At 47.5% G+C, this 18,676-nt stretch overlaps 1 protein-coding gene and 1 long non-coding RNA gene across 13 annotated transcripts in view, besides 2 other annotated features; one reads left to right on the top strand and one right to left on the bottom strand.

Annotated features, from left to right (window-relative positions):
• CAPZB (capping actin protein of muscle Z-line subunit beta) overlaps window positions 1-18,676 on the top strand; it is a 146,765-nt gene that overhangs the window by 68,178 nt on the left and 59,911 nt on the right. The gene's annotated exons all lie outside the window — the stretch shown is intronic.
• On the bottom strand, window positions 956-8,672 carry LOC124903868 (uncharacterized). The gene is made up of 4 exons (XR_007065524.1): window positions 8,550-8,672; window positions 7,179-7,308; window positions 6,181-6,294; window positions 956-1,044 (listed from the first exon to the last, which is right to left on the bottom strand). It is a non-coding gene; the product is annotated as an uncharacterized LOC124903868 (long non-coding RNA).
• Window positions 14,146-14,823: an enhancer, noted in NCBI's record as "H3K27ac-H3K4me1 hESC enhancer chr1:19729033-19729710 (GRCh37/hg19 assembly coordinates)". NCBI's record gives its function as "activates a minimal SCP1, AML or CMV promoter by ChIP-STARR-seq in naive H9 embryonic stem cells {active_cell/tissue: H9 hESC(naive)}" and the evidence as "EXISTENCE:reporter gene assay evidence [ECO:0000049][PMID:30033119]".
• Window positions 15,502-16,181: an enhancer, noted in NCBI's record as "OCT4-NANOG-H3K4me1 hESC enhancer chr1:19727675-19728354 (GRCh37/hg19 assembly coordinates)". NCBI's record gives its function as "activates a minimal SCP1, AML or CMV promoter by ChIP-STARR-seq in primed H9 embryonic stem cells {active_cell/tissue: H9 hESC(primed)}" and the evidence as "EXISTENCE:reporter gene assay evidence [ECO:0000049][PMID:30033119]".

Here is an 18,676-nt window from a genome sequence, read left to right as displayed (position 1 = left end):
GTTTAAATTTAGTTTGCCAATTTAGTTATTACTGTATTTTAGAAATAAGCCAAACATAGAAGTAGGAAATGATGAGCAAATTTTTCTCATTGGACCCTTCCTGGTGTTTAATAGGCTATTTTGTTCTTATGGCAACTGAAGTGTTTTACTACAGCTGTGTCTTTTCTCCGGGACTCCCTCATCACTCTCTCTTTCAGGGATGTGCATGTAGCTGCTTTTATGAAAACCTGGTCAACTGGCTCCCTTGCTGCCCGTGCGGGTTTTCCCTGGGCTCAACAGGGAAATTGCAGCATTGATGGTGAATGAAGGAGAGTATCAAGAGCTGTCTTTCGCCATAGCCAGATAATGAGAGAGATCACCTCTGAGGCTTAGTTGCAGGATGGTACTTGGACACAGGTTGAAGTGCCAGGCCGTATCTACCACTGATATATGGTGTACTGTGTGACATTCTATAGATTACTGTCAGAGCATACTTTTTTTTTTTTTTTTTTTTTTTTTTTTGAGACAGGGTCTTGCTCTGTCACCCAGGCTAGAGTGTAGTGGTGCAATCAAAGCTCAATGCAGCCTCCTAAACTCCTGGGCTCAAATGATCTTCTGCCTCAGCCTTGCAAGTAGCTAAGACAACAGGCGCCCACCACCACATCTGGCCAATTTTTTAAAATGTTTTATTTTGCATAGAGACTGGTTCTCCCTATGTTGCCCAGGCTGGTCTCGAACTGCTGACCTCAGGCAATCCTACTTTTCTGTTTTTAACTTTGTCTTCTGTAGAATGTATGCTAGAGCTGGTGGAGGTGGGCTGAGGTTGAGGTGGACAGCTGACGTGTTGAATACCTGCCGTGTGCCCAGGACTAAGCTGGGGACTTCTGTTTGTGTTGTTTATTGTTTCTTCAAAGTCATACAACACCCCTGTAAGGTACATATGGCCACCTCACCTCCTTTAGATGATTTAGACTCTATGGGGAAGAAGCCAGGATAGGGATGTGGCTTGGGAGCGCCGGGAGGTCTGGTTTCTCCTGCTTGCCAGGTTCCTTTGGGTTAGTCACACTGAAAGCAACAGAGTAAATGTGGTGTGTCTATGTGCTGTGTCAGTTTTGCCTGTTGGGAGAGAAACTGTTAATTAAATTCATTAGTAATCTAAAATGTTAACACATAGGTATATTATGGAGAATAATGTTAAATTCACATAATTTAAAAGCAAGAACTAGACACGGGGCAAAAAAACCCTTCTCGGAACCAGGCCATTTATGATTAGTGGTTCTCTTTCCTCCACTGCCTCGGGACGGCCTGAGAGGCACCAGCTCCCTTCACCGGCTGTGTGGAGGCCACCTGGGGCCTTGTCTACCTCAGAGGCTGAACAAGAGGCCAGAGTGGATTCCCATCGTCCAGAGTGGGTTGGGGAAACGGTGTTCTCATTAATTTTTTAATTGAAGTATGAGGAATGTCAAAATGGAAATGGAGCATGACTTTTCAACAAATTAGGATCTGGTAATGCATGCCTCATTAAAACTATATTGACATGCATTGGCCAGGCGCGGCGGCCCATGCCTGTAATCCCAGCACTTTGGGAGGCCAAGGCAGGTGGATAACTTGAGGCCAGGAGTTCGAGACCAGCCTGGCCAACATGGCGAAAACCCATCTCTACTGAAAAAAAACTATATTGACATGCTTCAGAAGCCACTTTCTGATTGATGGCCTGGCTTTGAACTCCTCGCTACGTGCGATGCTCATATAAGGGGCAGTGCGCTGGCTTTGTACTGGATCCTGTGACTGATCCTGGAGGTTTCTTCTTTGAATGTTTTATTTTCATCACTGCCAGTGTTCTCTGGGAATGACAGTTTTTCTTTTTTCCTGTTTAACTGAACTTACGAAATGCTTTTATTCTGTAAGGATTGGTCTGTGCTGAGTATACTGTTGTAGCATTGAAGTTCACATGCAGTTTTAGTTTCTTCCCAAAGCGGTAGTTTCAGAAAATTCACACTATTATGCACCTGTCTAAAGGCAAAGGATCCAGGCCTTTGTCTCGTGTAATCTGGGATCAGTCAGATGTTTTGAAAGTAGCTAATGCACTGCTGCTCCATGCAAACAGCAGTCATTCCTCCCTGCTCACCTGCCCAAGATAATGAAGGGGGGGAGATTGTTGTTTTCAAGAAAAGTCTCCAGTTTTAAGATGGACGAGAATGTTAGGATTTGCCAGCATTCCCCATGAAGGGAATGGCCTCGCTTAAGATGTCAGGGCCAGGGAACTGTGGGGGAATGGATCCAGTCCACCATGGTCTGATTACAGAGTGGTATTGAAGAGAAATGTGAGGGATGCTTGGCAGCCAGGCCAAGGCAGCCCAATTTATCATGCCAGGTCAGCTTTCTTTTTTCTTCCCAGCATCAGAGAGTTTTTGCTGCCTTGGGATTATGAGGCCTGCTCTGATTGGTGGGAAATGACCTTCCTTTGCAGATGGCCAAAACATCATTTTATTACATATTAATCCCATTGTGCTAGAGTGAATCCAGCTGAAATCCGTTGTTAAGCTGTTTCAAAAATACCCACACATCCATGAGGGCCAAGAATCATATGATGTGAAGATGTTCCCTTGGCTTCATAAACTTGGCCCTTCTATGGCCTTACTCTGCACACTGGCAGCAAGAGCAGAAATGTCTCAGCTGGGGTGTATTTTGAGCCCTGAGCTGAGGAAGGAGTTTGTTTCTGCATATTGGCACCCAGCAGGCCTTCCATCCTTTGCCTTTTTAAGAGCAAACCAAAAATAGCCGTGAATCTGTTTAACTAGGCAAGAAAGTCTCTGCTTGCAAACATTGGTCACTTCATGTTTTTAGTTCCTTCACTTCTTTCTTTCTTACAGTTGTCCTAAGGCTCAGCTCTTGGGTGTCCCCAGACTTTACTCTATCAAGGGGAAGACATCAGGGCTGGGAAAGTATCCAGGCCAGTGAGGTAAAGGTGGAAGAGACATCCTGATTTTTTACCGGGGAGTTGATAACTTCATAGGTTAACTGTTTTCAGCATATTCTTCTTTTTAAGTAGCCAGAGCAGCCCTCTAGAAATAGAGCCAGCTGGGCACAGGTATTCACACTGCCAGCCTCAGCGGTAGCCATGCTTTGAAATTATCCCTGTCACCCCCGCATCGCCACCCCCATCGGGGCAGCATGATGTCTGCAGGGAGTGTGATTTGACAGATGAGAAGGCTGAGTGCTTGGGGGACGTGTCCACATTCGAGCCTTAGTGAACGAGTGAGTGGACACCCGCTGCTTACGTTTCCAAAAACCTGCTCTCCGTGAAGCAGCCCATGGAGCCAGCTCACACACATTTGTAATTGACTGGTGACGTTAAGGATGATACTATTAGTCAATAGTTCATTAATACGATTGATTAGCAGAATATCTGATGTCTGCTAAGCAGTGCTGCTCAGTTTTCAGTCTTTAATAGTCAAAGCAATGAAATCTGGAAATCATTTTTCCAGGGACAGCTGTGTGGAGTGAAGCAAAACTCAGTTTTGTCCCCCAGGTGATGAAGCTGCACTGGGCCTGGGACCCAAGACGACTACCCCTGCCTTTGGGGATCTTGAAGGCCAGATAGGATCTGCTTTATCTGTGTTAATAGAGTAAGCAGGCTTACATTTTCTTCTTCCCTAGCTTCCCCTTTAGCCTTGTCATTCAAACAATCTCAGACCAGCATTTTTCGTCCTTTATTTCAAAGACAACATTTAAAATGTCTTCACTTAAGCTGGGCCTGGTGGCTCACACTTATAATCCCAGCACTTTGGGAGGCCAAGGTGGGAGAATTGCTTGAGCTCAGGAGTTTGAGACCAGCCTGGGCAACATAGGGAGACTCCATCTCTACTAAAAATTAAAAAATGTTTTGGGCATGGTGGCATGCGCCTGTGGTCCCAGTTACCCAGGAAGCTGGGGTGGGAGGATCACTTGAGCCCAGGAGGTCAAAGCTGCAGTGAGCTATGATCACCCCACTACACTCCAGTTTGGGTGAGAGAATGAGACCCTGTTTTGTTTTTAAGTTTTTGCCTTTCTAAAAGGGTCTCAGCTGAAGTAAGTGAAAAGGTAATGGATTCAGTCGACATTTATTGAGCACCTCCTGGAAGTCAGGCACTGTGTTTAATTCTGGGAAGAAGTGCAGCCTTTATTCCTTGCCTTCTCCTCCACGGGTCAAAATGCAAGGATTCTTCAGCTTGATCCCCGAAAAGAATGACCCTAGTTGGATTCTCTCAGGCCATTGGTCATTGACCAGTGAATAAGCTCTGAGGATGAGTAGCAAGAGCTGCAGAACTGAGTTATTCTTTCTGCAAACATTTATTAAATGCACCATCCATGCACCAGACACTATTCTAGGTGCCGGGGTTTTCGTGGAGAACCAGATGAAAAGCCTCGCTCTATGGAGCTGACATTTTATGGGGAATTAATTTCTGGAAGGAGGACCTGGCTGTGGTCAGCTTTGCACGCTGTACATCTGTTGAACAGGATAACTGGCAGCTGTGCTTATTTGTTTTTACTTACTCATAAAGGTGTTAGAGGCTCTTTAATGGTCGTGCCCAGCTATCAGTAAATGTTTGTCCACTTCTGCAAGCCATTGCTCGCCACCTTTTAACCGGTTTCTCAGTGACTTGTGCCTTGGCGCTTCTCATTCTTTCCCCAAAGTACTCATGTCAATAGAGGAAGAAAGAAGAGCAAATACACATTTCTGGGGTTTTAGGGGAAAATCCACAGGTGCCTGCCTCAAGGAGAGCATTGTATGTTTTGTCTTATTTAAAAATTGTTTTCTCTCTGGAAATGTGGCATTCATCTGAAGTTACAACTACTTGGGAGGCTGAGGTGGAAGGATCGCTTGAACCCAGAGTTTAAGACCAGCCTGGGCAACATAACTAGACCCCATCTCGTAAGAAAAAAATTAAAAAATAAATTGTATTCCAATCCATAACATGCCCACATGCAAGACATTTTAACATTAAAAAAATGCTTTTTCCACCAGAGTTCCCCGTGGGTTTATGTTAAGGGTGGGGAAACTTGGCTTCCTCTCTCCTACCCATCCTAGGGTCTGCCTGGAAGTTTTCTCCTCTGAGCCGAATGTTATCTCTGGAGCAGGAGCCGCGGAATGGATGGAATCACTGGTAATATGCACCAGCCCCTACATAGTCTCTGTTGTGACTGATGTTTCTGAGCGTATTCTGAGCTTTCCTATAGACAACACTGCTATAGTTCCCGTTTTACAAGGAGAAAAAACATTCCAGCCAAAAGCCTCCAGCAGTATTTTAATAAACTCCATTCCTTGGAAAATTGTGGTGAGTCTTTTCACGTGAGCCTTTTGCTCTGTGAATGGGCGGCAGCTGTGGGGACTGAGGCAGGGAGAGCAGGAGGCATGCTCTGGACGGTGGGTGCCAAGCTGGCGTTTCCTGCCCATCCTGGCCTCTCCGGAGGATGGCGGCCCTTCATGACCCCGGCCTGTTATCAACCTGAGGACCTGCCACCTAGTAGTGCAGCCTCTGATTTGTGTCCAGGTGGCAGCCAGGCAGCCCTTCACCAGGAAGAAATGGCATGATTTGCTTAGAAAGAGGAAGTGGGGCTTCCTGGGGTGCTCTTACCTGACCAGCTCCCTCATAGATTTGGCCAGAAGTGATTTCAGATTCTGATGAGTTCTGTTACATGCAGCGTAATGGTTCCTCATTTTATCCAATTAAGAATGCGATTAATTGCCTTCTGTAAAGGCAATCCAGACAATTACGGTGGAATGAATGAAAGAGAGGAGTGCAAGAGAAAGGAAATGAACCAAAGAGATTAGTAGGGCCATTGGCTTTATTTTGTGTGTGTGTTCCTTGGGGAGCAAAGACTGATTCCAGGAGACTGCAACGATGTATCCACCAGTCCTGAGCTGTCCTAGAACAGTAATGGTTGATTTTCCATTAGGGGAAGGGGCTTGAATTTCTCCAAAGCCAACTATTTTGAAAATTGATGCTCTCCCATCATCTTTAAGATAGCCACGCAGTAAGCTTTGGTTATTTTTCAGAGAATACAAATTTCAAAACAGAAAGTATTTTTTGTTTGGTCTCAGATTAACAATTTGACTCTTCCCTCTTTCATTCCCTATAAAATACTTTTCAATTACATGGAAAAAAATTTTTTTCATCTTTTTAAATTAAACATAGAAAATAGAGATGGGGGTCTCACCATGTTGCCCAGGTTGGTCTCAAACTTCTGAACTCAAGCAGTCCTTCCACACTCAAGCAGTCCTTCCACCTTGGCCTCCCAAAGTTCTGGGATTATAGGTGTGAGCCACTGTGCCTGGCCAAAATAAGTAACTTTTAATGGATCTCCATCAGATGTCAGCAAGTACTGACAGATGGGTCTCATTATTAATACGCTTCATCCAGGACCTTATCTGTCTTCATAGCCATTCTGTGAAGTGAGTGGGAGGAAACTGAGGAATGGAGGAGGGCAGTGAGTCTCTGACCTGATAGGTGATGCGTGCTGTGGGGTTGCGGGGAAGAGGTGTCAAGCCCACCTCTTGATTCCAGTCAGTATTTTCCACTGAATTACAGCCTTACAAATGAAAATATTATAGTATGCCATTTCTTAAATGTCCTGCCAAAGCTAAATAATCTTTTAAAAGTGAAAATGTAAAGGAAATTTATAATGAGGGCCTGGGAAGAATGGTCACCATGGAAGTACCTAAGGGAAAAGGACTTGAACTTCTCTTCCTGCCACTGCTGGTGTGGAGCTCTGGGCAGGCGATGTTCCTCCAGAGCTTGACCAGCAGAGGAGCCGCCGCTCCCTTCAACCGGCTGGGCTGTGGGGAACCCGGGCTCAGTTGGAACAGTGGGGCAGAGGCAAAGCTTCCTATTGCAGCCCCCCACCACCCCCCACCCATACACACTTTGCATTGTGTGTGTTTGGGGGGAAAGTGCTATTTTGAAAGCATCCTGCCCAGACACAAGTAGTATATCACTATACTTTCAGTTAAAACAAATGTAAAAATTTTGGAAAAAGCAGTGCACTGCAAGAACCAACGGGATGGTTCAGTAAGGGAGCTTATTTCTAGGTGGCATCTCCTTTTGCTGTTACAAATGGGCTCTTGTCCCTCCATCTCCCCTGGCATCCTATCTGTTCTAACTGATTTATGCTGGAGCACAGGCTGATTTTGGTACATTTAATTTAAAGGCAGTCACCTAAGAGGCAAGCAGGCAGTGCGTGAAGACAGCTGCAGAGCTCCAGGCTGAGTGGCGGAAGCAAATCAGTCAGAATTCTCAGAAACAGACTCAGTAATGGAAGAACTTAGAACAATCACAAGTGGTATTCCTATTTGGGAGAAAAATAATTGTTCAATAAATGTGTTGAAACAGCTAATACTTTTGAAGGAAAACACACTAAAACTCTATTGCAACAGCATGTAGTCATATTGCGTATTTCTCATGGACTGAAGAATTAACTATTAAACGAACATGAAAGACCCAGAGAGCAAACATCAGTATTTGATCTTGAGATGGAAGAGGCCTTTAGAAGGTGCATAAGCCAGTGCCGAAATGATAGCTTTGACTGCATGCAAATTTAACTTAGAAGTTTACACAAAATTAAAAAGCAAGGAACACACTCTGAAAAGCATTTGTACCTTTTGGCAAAACGCTTCTCTCTTTAAATCTGAGAACACCTGCTGAGGCTATTAGAGTTGTCCCCATTGGACAGATGAAGAAGCAGGGCCTCCAGCAGTTTATCCAGGGTCACCAAGTATGATGGTGGAGCTAAGCTTTGAACCCAGACAACCTGACTCCGGGGCTCTTAACTACCACATGGCATTGCCTCCATCAATAGGAGAAGTAGGAATACTTTGTTAGAAGAAAGAGCTGGCTACATAGGCAATTCACAGAGGAAGAAACACAAACGCCTAATATGTGAAACTTTGGTCCTCACTAGTAGTTAGAAGTGCAAAATAAACCGAGATGGGATGGCTGGAAAAGCCTCCTTCATGGATGACTGTTCCTTCTGCTTGGTGGGTGGATTCGTTTCTTGTTGGACTGTGACCTGCACATTTCGTGACTTTCTAATGAAGTGGATCCCCTCACCTTGGCATTGAGTCTCTTGAGGGATAAAGGGCAGCGATTGACTGGGAGAAATCCAGAGTCTGGATAATCAGACTCCATTATCCATTAAGAGCATCATCACCCATGTTGGCATATTAAAGGCTCTGAGAAGTCCCACAGTTAATAAAAAAAGAACTGAACCTGTTATCCCAACTCACGTTCAAGGAATGTGCTTTGGGAAACATTGTTTTCCTGGGAAGGATCATAACCTACACACTAAGTGGCCTGGATTCTACACCCTTTTTTGACAATGGCCCTAAGTGTGATATTAGCCAAACCTTTTATTTTCATAAGTGTTTGGTAAAATGGGGTAGAAGGAAACATAGCTTTTTTGGAATTATTTATCTATTTGTGCAAATAGAGAACTGCTTCAGGAAACTTCCTGCTGCTTCAATAGGAGGGACAAAGGTAGATGAAAAGGAAGCACTATGTCCATTAAGAAGGTGCCTTGGCAAATCTTACTGGAAGTCAGGAGACCTGGGCTGTGGCTTTGAGTCTGCCACTAATTTGCTTTGGGAATTGCAGGTCTTTGGGTCTCGGGCCCCCACTCTGCGAAGTGCAGGCCTGATGGTCTCTCAGTCTCTCAGAACTGGAGGTCTGTTGCCTAGAACTAAAAGAACATCACCATGGATACCCTTCTGTTGATGTCACCACTTTCAGGCTCCCCTTTTGCTGGCAGAAGAGACCTCAGTTTCTCTCAGGCCTATGAGCTGCCCCATCTGGTAAATAGGTGGAGAGAACAGAGCCGGCAGGGGCCTCCAGCAGATACTCCAGCCCACAGTCTTTGTCCCTGGGTGGCTCACTAGAGCCAGAAGAGAAGGCTCACTAGGACTTGAATCCTGGCCTGGTCACCTTCCAGCTTTGAGACCTTGGACAAGGCACTTCATCTCCCACAGTTTCCGAAAGCCGAATTCATGAGACGGTTGTGAGGATTTGGGGTGCGTGTAAACTGCAGATGTGAGTGGAAGACAGGCACTTAATTGATGCTGGCTGTTGCCTTTACTGCCTTTGTTGGCTTCCTAGGGCCGATTGGCTCACTCCTGGGTTCCACCAGCCTAGAGGCTGTGCCCTGATGCCCTGGGCAGCCTTTTGGGCTGAGTTTTCACAGGTGAACCAAGTCCCAGCCTTGGCTCCCACAGTGGGGCATTTTATAACCCAGTGCACGTTTGCAAGGACTTGGCTTATTTAACTGAGGAAGGAGATTAAGAGGCCCTCCATTGAGGCCTTGTAGATAGTCATGAGAACTTGTCAAGGTAAGGATCCCTGAATGGGAAGCTGAAAATGCCACGGCCCCCCACCCAAAGGCGAGTCATGGAGGTCAGAAGGTGAGCCTCCAGACTTTGGCTGGCTGGTTTCCATTCTGCAGAGATAAGGGTCATCTGACACCAGCTGCACAGTCCGCCCTGGTGAGGGTCTCTCCCCCTCCTCTTCCTGATTGCTTGCTAGGCACTTTTCTTCCTGCTTCTGCTCCCTGAATGAGGAGCTGACCCCGGTTATCATTGGGAAAGTCTTCGGAAGCCCTGGGAGAGAAAGCTAGACAAGAGCGTGGCTGGATGGTCTAAGGCGGCAGGAAGGAGTCTTAGGTTGATCTCAGTGTCCAAGGACAAGCCAGCCTTGCAGCCTCCCAGGTCATCAGACCCCTCAATCCTCAGCCTTCCAGAGGTGCCAGGTCACCTGTGAAACCTGGGTCCTCAGGATCCTTTCTGTCGGTTTCCCAGCTTCCTTGCCATTTACCCTCTTCCTTATCAGCACTGCTCACCTCTTGCTCCTCTTTCCTCTGAATCTCTTGTCCCCTTCTTGAACCTACATCTCTAGTCTCCCCCCAGGTACCCTTTTCCCCAGCTTGAGAGCCCCCCAGTCTATGTGTGAGGGTCCTACACAACCTCCCAGTGATGGGCCTCTGTTCTGTATCTCTGGGCCTCTCCTGGGACTGCTTTCTGGTGGGGAGGCTATTTTAGCAGCTCACCTGCTGCTACCTATTCATGACCCTGATGCAGAAAATGCTTGTGAGGTGCCACTAGCCAAGAAGCAGACCAAGGCTGGAAGTGGAGTCCTCATTTGTTTTGCAGACTTCCTTGGAAACAGATTGGCCATTTAGTGCCCCCTACCACACCTTTATATGCCAGGCCAGAGAAGCCTGTTTTGGTGTATTTGGGAATTCAAATTCTACAAAATTCTTGGTTAGGTGTTTCTAGGCTGTTAGTCTGAGGATGCCTGAAATGCTTGGTTAGGAGCATTGAAGTTGATAGTGGAGTGCCTTGAAATCGAAAGGCACAATCCTGTTCAGCTCTTGTCTTTACCACGTCTTAGCTGTGTGACCACTGAGCCTCAGTTTCCTCATCTGTGAGATGGGCATGACACTAACTTCAAGAATGAGAGATGGGGGGTGTAAAGCTTCTAGCATAGTACCTGGCTTGTAGTAGCTGTCTGCATGGAGTTCTGAGGTCATGTCAAACTTGCGCAAAATACTCTGCTGTTCTCCCGGGTTTTAAGAGATGACTATCGTGTGCCAGGTACTGTTCCAGACCCTTTGCTTATTTAAACTGCACACCACAAGGTTGATCTTTTATGCCCATTTTACAGATGAGGAAACCAAGTGAGGTTTCATGAGTTGGTCCAAGCCTCACAGCTAATTAGTAAGGAGCAGAGTTGGGATCTACCCGTCTGCAAAGCCTGTCTTCTCCGTCACGCTGTTTGTGCCCAAAGCTGCCCCAGGAGTAGCTTTCTCCTTGTCACTGCAGGTCACCAGAGGATGGCTGACTCTGAATGCAGCTGTCTTCACAATTCTTAGCACCGGCAAGAAGTTACTCAGTCTCCGTAGTGGGTAGCTTCCCCCTTCCCACGTTGAAAGGGCGTTCTGTTCTGGCCTCCTGTGGTTAAAGGTGCACTGCTGATGGAGACGGAAGCATCCGTGGTAACAAGCACAAGACCCCAACATCCCAGCTGCCAGCTGCCAAGCAGTAGTGCCGGGGGGAGGGGTGCGTTGGGTTCCAGTGCACCCAGAGGCTTTGCATTGCTTACATAAAGAAGCTTCAGAGCTTTAGAAGGGATGCGTGGGGGAGGAATAGTCCCGCCCTCCTCCTTTTTTGGGTCATTGGCCCTCACTGGGCCGGACACTTCTTATTCACTAATCAGACGGTTTGCGGTTGCCCTTTGCCACATCTGTGGCTGCCTTCCTGGGCCTGTCGAGCTCACAATTAAGGTTCATTAGAGACCCTGTCAGTCATAGCACGCACAGAGCCTGCCTGAGAGAGGCCTTGCCAAGGGGCTGGCCAGCCCCATGCCCCCACCAAAATGAGTCCCTTTGCAAATGACTGCCAACCAAATTCTAGAGGCTTTGTGTACAGGAGAGGGGGTGTGAGCAGCGCTTGTGAAGCTCCAGACTCTCGGGTCCTAATGGGCCCATTGCCTTTTATGTAATTGAAACCTTCAGGCGAGCTCTCGAATTGATGTTCCAGATGGTGGCGGCGGGAGTGCTGTCAGATGGACGCTTTGGAGGGATCATCTGACAGCCGGCCCCTCCGAAAAGAGATTTGGAGCCAAATGCAGAAGAGATTTAATGATCGTTAATCTCCCTCTCCCTCTTTCTGGAATATATTGGGACTCTTAATTACTATTGACTGGAAGCTAAAACAACACTCCTAGTTCAGAACAAAACTCTTCAGGAGATTTGCCCCAGGCTGAAAGGATTATCCTTCATACAAGGGGATTTTTTTTTTTTTTTTTTTTTTTTGCCTCTTTCTAGCTATGTGTTGAACATCAGTTGGGAGTAGAGGAGATATGTACATCAGGTGTTTTAAAGAGGCTTAATACTTCTTCGCCCGCATTGTTTTCCTGTCTCATTGACCTTCCTAGTCCCAAACGCTGCCTGTAGGGGCAGCCAAATCTCCACGTTTTATCTAACGCACTGAAAGCACTGCTGTGTGCTGTAACTGTACTCTTAGCACTGGAGGGCCCTCTGGCTTCCGAGCACCTGCGGGATGCCATGATGCTCACCTCTATCCCCAGACCCTAACACAGTGCCTGGCCACATGTCGATATGGCCACAAATAAATATGAGATAATGAACCAAAAACCCTGCTATCCCCAAATTCTGAGGGGAGTCCACATTAGACATTCTAGGCTGTGTGATCTGAGACCCAGAGATGAGAAGGGACGGATGCCTCTTGGAGCTGAGCTATGACTCAGGAGACCTCAGCCCCTGGGACTCAAGGGCTGGTGGTCCCGGCAGGTGGCAGTATATGGACAGAGTCTTTAAGGTCACGGAGTCATGAGTTAGCTGGGGCTGGGAGCATGCATCCTGAATATCTAGGTGACCCTCGGTAAGCTACCAGACTCCAGGCCTCAGTTTCCTCATCTGTGTAATGGAGAGAATTCTGGATTTGCCTCACTCTAAAAGAGGACAATTGTGAATATTAAAGGAAGTCATGTAGGGAAAATACTTGGTGCAAATCATCCAAAGAAGGTGGTGGAATCCCTGACAGGAGCGGCTGGAATCCACTGCTTTCCCATGATTGCTGAGCTGTCCTTTTAAGGAGGAGGGTGCGTGCCCCTTGTCAAAAGCAGCCTGCGTTTCCCTGTTTGGCCAGATAGGTGGGTGAATGCTGCTTGATCGGGCTCTGAAATGTCCTGCCTTCTTCCAGGTGGGAGAGGGACTGTGAGGTGAGCTCAGATCTTGCAATGACAAGCGAGCATTTTTCCCATTACCTCTTTTTTTTTTTTTTTTTTTTTAACATGGAGTTTTGCTCTGTCACCCAGGCTGGAGTACAGTGGCGTGATCTCGTCTCACTGCAGCCTCCACCTCCCGAGTTCAAGTGATTCTCCAGCCTCAGCGTCTGGAATAGCTGGAACTACTGGCCTGTACCACCGTGCCTGGCTAAGTTTTGTATTTTTAGTAGAGATGCGGTTTTACCAATTTGGCCAGGCTGGTTTCAAACTCCTGACCTCAAGTGATCTGCCTGCCTCGGCCTCCCAAAGTGCTGAGATTACAGGCATGAGCCACTGCGCCCAGCCATATTTTTTTTTTTTTTTTTTTTTTTTTTGAGATGGAGTCTCAGTCTGTCTCCCAGGCTGGAGTGCAGTTGTACGATCTTGGCTCACTGCAACTTCTGCCTGCCCAATTCAAGCGATTCTCCTGCTTCAGCCTCCCGAGTAGCTGGGACTACAGGTGTGTACCACTATAGCCAGCTAATTTTTGTATATTTAGTAGAGACGAGATTTCACCATGTTGGCCAGGCTAGTCTCAAACTCCCGACCTCAAGTGATGCCACCGTGCCCGGCCTACTACTGTTACCTCTTGTACTTCAACCTCTTGAGTCTTGATGCTGCAGGCGTTAAGTAGGGCATGTGACAGGGAGGAACTGCGGCTGGAGTCCAGGAGGGAGGCAGGCAGAAGGGGCACTGGGTGCAGCTCAGGCTGCTGAAGGCCAGTGGAGATGTAGTTCCACCTGCCCAAAGCGGGGTCACTTTTTTACAGAGTGCCATCCACCTTATCCAGCCTGTTGGGTGAAGGTATGTCCCAATCCTCATTTTAGAGCAGTTCAATGAATGTTTATTGCTACTGCTCCTCCCTGCATTACTGGAGTGTTATAATAGCCTGTAGACAGGCCTTCCTGCCTGTCATCCCCTGCCTGCTCTGCATACAGAGTAGTCTTGCCAAAATGCACTTCGGATAATGTCCCTTAATGACTCCACATTGTCGGGATCAAGCCCGGAGAACACATCTAGGTGGAAGAGCTCTTGATCTGGCCCTGCCCCTTCCTCCTGTCTCCTTGTCTTGCACACTCCCAGGCCTGTGCCCTGTCTTGTTGCATCTTTGTACATGCCGTTTCCTTGACTGGGACACATGTCCACACCAACTCTGCTCCCTCTAACTGCTCATCTTCCCATCTCCGCTGGAGCCTCACTTCCCTCACCCTGCCCCCCAGCATGCCCCTTGCTTCTCCTGTCTCTTGGACTTGCTCCATCCTAGGAGCTTTGGCTCTTGGAGGGCAGGGATCTTTTCTTTTGTTCACCTTTGTATCCCCACTGTCAAGCCTGAAGCGGACATTCAGTGAGTGCATGCCTACTTGAGCCCCCATGAATGCAAGGCCCTGCCTAAGCTGAAGCACCAGGGTCAGAGTGACAACAGAATAGTTGTGTCTTTAAAGAGCTCATAGCCACGGTGGGAGCCAGATAACCCAGGATGGATAGAATGCAAGGCTTCTTTTTTTTTGTTTTGTTTTAGAGATGGAGTTTTGTTCTTGTTGCCCAGGCTGGAGTGTGATGGCACAATCTTGGCTCACTGCAACCTCTGCCTCCCTGGTTCAAGCAATTCTCCTGCCTCAGCCTCCCAAGTAGCTGGGATTACAGGTGCCTGCCACCACCCCCAGCTAATTTTTTGTATTTTTAGTAGAGATGGAGTTTCACCATGTTGGCCATGCTGGTCTCGAACTCCTGACCTCAGGTGATCTACCCGCCTCGGCCTTCCAAAGTGCTGGGATTACAGAGGTGAGCCACCGCTCCCAGCCAGAATGCAAGGCTTCTGATGTGAGGAACATGGGCACTGCAGAGCACCACAGAGGACACCGTGGCCCACCCTTGGCAGGCAAATCCCAGGGAAAGCTTAGAGTGGGCAGAGCCTGAGATACAGCTGGTGGGTGGTGGGAAGGTACTAGCTGGGCAGGGACTGAGCAGGAGCAGCTGGGTTTCTGCCTGATTAGATAGAGCGTGTGAATTGGTGTCTAGTGAGCTTTGAGTTTTGATTCAGGCCACATGGGTCCCTTACCAGAAAGCAGGTGATGGGCGCACACTCTGGTTTTGCTGAGGATCAGCTGTTAGCTCCCACTCAGACTTTCTAGATGGGTAAGGGACAGAGATCAGCAGGTTCCCTGCAATTTTAAGATCGTAACTGAGAAATGTGCCCTTGTAAGCCTGTTGATCCAAGAGCCTGCCTGCCTCTAGAAAAGCCCACATCAGTCCTTTCCTAGGAGGCAGTGGCCTTGTTGCCTCTGTTGAGACAAAGTTCTTTATTGACCTCACAGGGAGCTGGGACTTTCTGAATCAGACCATTCAGGTGTTCTCTCAGTTCCTGTTGATTCCTTCGCAGCCCTGGTGGGAACAGCTGCTGCTCTTGAGGGAACCTAAAGTAAACTCCTGGCTTGCCATTTTCCTGAACTCGTAGATTTTGGCAGAGGAGAAGGGTGGAGAGTCCAGGCCTTTGTTCCTGATCCTGTCACCCTTATGAGTTAAGATTTGGCAACCCTTCTCATAACTGCTGGGGGCATAGGGTATCCTCAAAAGTAGAGTTAAATTACTGGTTTAAAGAGTCTGTGCTCCAAACTCCAGTGAACTTCATGATACAGAAAGCAAAGAATTGAAGGGTATTAGCTGTTTGGGGAAAACCACTGCTCCCACCACCTGGAAGCCAAATAAGCAGATGTCCCCTCTGGGTGGAGCAGGGGGCCAACATCACTTTCTTATGTTATTATAGGTCGTCAGCCTATGTGTAGGCCATTTCAGTCTCATTGGAAATACCTGGAAAAATGCCTGGACTTGGAAAAATGCAAACAAAAAACACAGCACGTAGCTCTAAAGGGGTTGTTTAGTCCTCCCCTGAATTCTGTTTCTGCCTTAAAACACCAGAAGAGCTTTGGCTGTGTGCCATCTGCAGGAAGCACCCTAGGAAGGAGAGGATCCACCCTGGCTTCTCCCAGGCTAGGTGGTCCTTCGTTTTTCACCTTTTTAAAAGGCTCACCTGAGGCTGCTGAAAAGGTGGCAAAAGACAGGACTGCATGCTTCATTCCCAGCAAGAGTGTCAGGCAAAATTCGAACTCCTTGATCACCCATTGGTTTCCACATTCTTTCCATTCCGGAGACCAAGGGGAGATTTGCCGATGCTGATGCTCCCTGGGCTTTGCAAAGCTTTCCCTAATTAAAGTCCTCCCGGCTGTGTGCATAGCTCTTCTGCTGCAAATCTTTGCCCTTTTGTGTTTGTGTTTAAAATTCCATCTTTCCAAAATGTTTGCCCACTCAGCAAGTCTCCTTGAAAGCCCTCACTTTTGTTTGGGGGAAGTTTTTTTTTTTTCCTTTTTGGTTTTTATTCTGCCTATGTGTAGGAAATTTAAGTCTCTTAGGAATTGCTTGTGAAAATGCTCTCTGGTCTTTTTTTAAACCATGATGAGTGTCTCTCACCATGGCATTGGAAGCTGGCAAGGGATGCCCCTGGTGTCCGTGCTGTTAGCTGCCACTTGAGCTTTTAGATGGAGCTACTGGAGTATCATTTTGGTTCCATTCTAAGGAAAATGAACAAAAGAGCTTTTCCCTCCTGTTCAATGTGCAACAGTGCTACAAGGTGAGAGAAGTATGTTAGCGAGGAATCTGAACCAGGTCAGGATCGGGGCAAGGTGGTAGGAGGCTGAGCTCTCCAGTGGTGAAAAAGATGGCTCTTGTCACCTAGAGCCAGGAGGCATAATTCAAGTGAAGTGCATATAGGCCCGTTCCTTGGCCTTGTCCTCATAGGATTTTTTTTCCTACAAGATCTATCCAGGTCCTTCATTTGGGGAACCTTATGGACTCCTGTTGTTGTTGGAAGCCGGAGAACAGTGTTTGGAGAGCTTCCATTGAGGATGGTCTGAAGACTCTCACTTTAAGTTAGATCCTGCCCTCTGGTTGATGAGAAATGTGAGACGTAAAAGTGAATTGGAGAGAGATCCCACTTCCCCACGTGCCAGAAAAGGCAGACAACAACTCCCTCCTCAGAGCTGTTAGAAAGCCAACATCTCGCGGTTGGCAGGCACTGGCCCTGGATGAGGAATTCCTGGGTCGCCCCCCTTAGAACATGTCTGGTTTTGGAAACAGGTTAAAAATACTTGAGGAGGGCATGGCACGCTCAGTCTGCTTCCCTGATGTTTGAAATAGGCCAGGAATGTGGGCCGGGAAGCCCAGAGGAGCCTGCGTGTCCCGCAGGGTTTTGTAGTTGGAGCCTGGGGTTTCTCCTCTCCATCATCACCCCCTTTAACTGCCAGTGACCACATGCCAGATTCATGAAGGGCACACTGAAATTGACGAAGACCTGTGCCATGGGTAGCGGGAAAAACTGGGCTCCCTTTAGTAAGCAGGATGGTGTTGAGGTCTCGGAGGCAGGCAAGGGGTGGGCTCGGAATCTCTCCTGGAAGAGAAAAGAGAAGGGAATTTGGATTCTGTATACAAATATAGAAATTCCCTAAGAGTTTAAATTTGAACATGGCATTCAGGGGAGAAGATTATGGGTTCCAAGCCTTTTCCTTCTTCCCCTTCTTGTGAATAACTCACTCAGCTGCTTGCATCTGTGTCCTAAGGCTGTGAACCGAAGAGCTGGGCAGTCCACAGTTGGTTTGAGCCTCAGAGTACCTTGCTTAGTAAAGGTTTGTTTTAGGAGGGATGACACAAACTTTTGAGTAACTCTCAAGTCTTGAACTATGAAACTTCGTAGGATGTCAACACTAAAATGAACCTTACCGATTATCTCATCTAGTGGTTTTCAAACATTTGGAAAATTGGTACAGCCCTTTTTTTAAGCAAAATCTTAGAACTTGAATAAACCAGGTAGAAGGTGGTAGGCCCAGACTTCCTCTCCCACTCTTGACACCCTGAGCTCCTCCCTCTGTACTCACAGCCCTCAAAGTGCTCCTCTCTCAGAGAACCATCCATTGCAGAGACCAGGGAGCTGTGGCCCATGCCCCATGTAGCACCGTTTCATGGCAGAACCAGCTCTGACTTCCAGGCCAGTGGCAAGTCCCTGCAGTACCTTGGTTTATTTTGATGTAGGAAAAGCTCTGGGTAGTAAGAGTGAAGAGTCAAACAGCTACGACTGAGAGTGAGGAGAAAGACAACACTGCCCATGGTTCCTGACACCCAGGGTCACTTTTTACCAACCTAACTCTGGGTCACATGACGTACTCGTATTCTGAAACTGTTGGTTTCCTGGATGTCTACCTGTGATGTCTTGGATCCATGTGGTTCTCTCTGCCTAAAATATCCTCTCTTGATTCACCTTCTTAACAACAGCTTTCTGGAGATATAATTCACATAACATAACATTTACACTTTTAAAGTGTACGGTCCAATGGTTTTTAGCACACGCAAGAGTTGTGCAGCTAGCTGGGCATGGTGGCTCATGCCTGTAATCCCAGCACTTCGGGAGGGCAAGACAGGCGGATCACTTGAGTCCAGGAGTTCAAGACCAGCCTGACCAACATGGTGAAACCCTGTCTCTACTAAAAAATAAAAAAATTAGCCAAGCATGGTGGCAAGCACCTGTAGTCCCAGCTACTCGGGAGGCTGAGGCAGGAGACTTGCTTGAACCTGGGAGGCGGAGGTTGCGGTACTCGAGATCGCTCCATTGCACTGCAGCCTGGGTGACAAAAAAAAAAAAAAAGAGTTGTGCAGCTATCAGCATTCGGCATCCCACGCTGTCTGCCTTTGACAGACAGAGATGCTCTCTGTCTGCACCTTAGTCCTTGGGCTGCTTTGCGACCTGCCCTAACTGCCAGCCCTGCCTCACTTTCTGTAACTCAGCTCAGATGTGGCCCCCTGGAGATGTCCCCTCCAGTCTCCCCTGCTTGGTCGTT

Source organism: Homo sapiens, chromosome 1 (assembly GCF_000001405.40).
Source record: "Homo sapiens chromosome 1, GRCh38.p14 Primary Assembly".
In the NCBI taxonomy this organism is placed as follows: Eukaryota; Metazoa; Chordata; class Mammalia; order Primates; family Hominidae; genus Homo; species Homo sapiens.
Note: the sequence above shows the minus strand (reverse complement) of the source record. Positions and strands in the feature narration are given on the sequence as shown.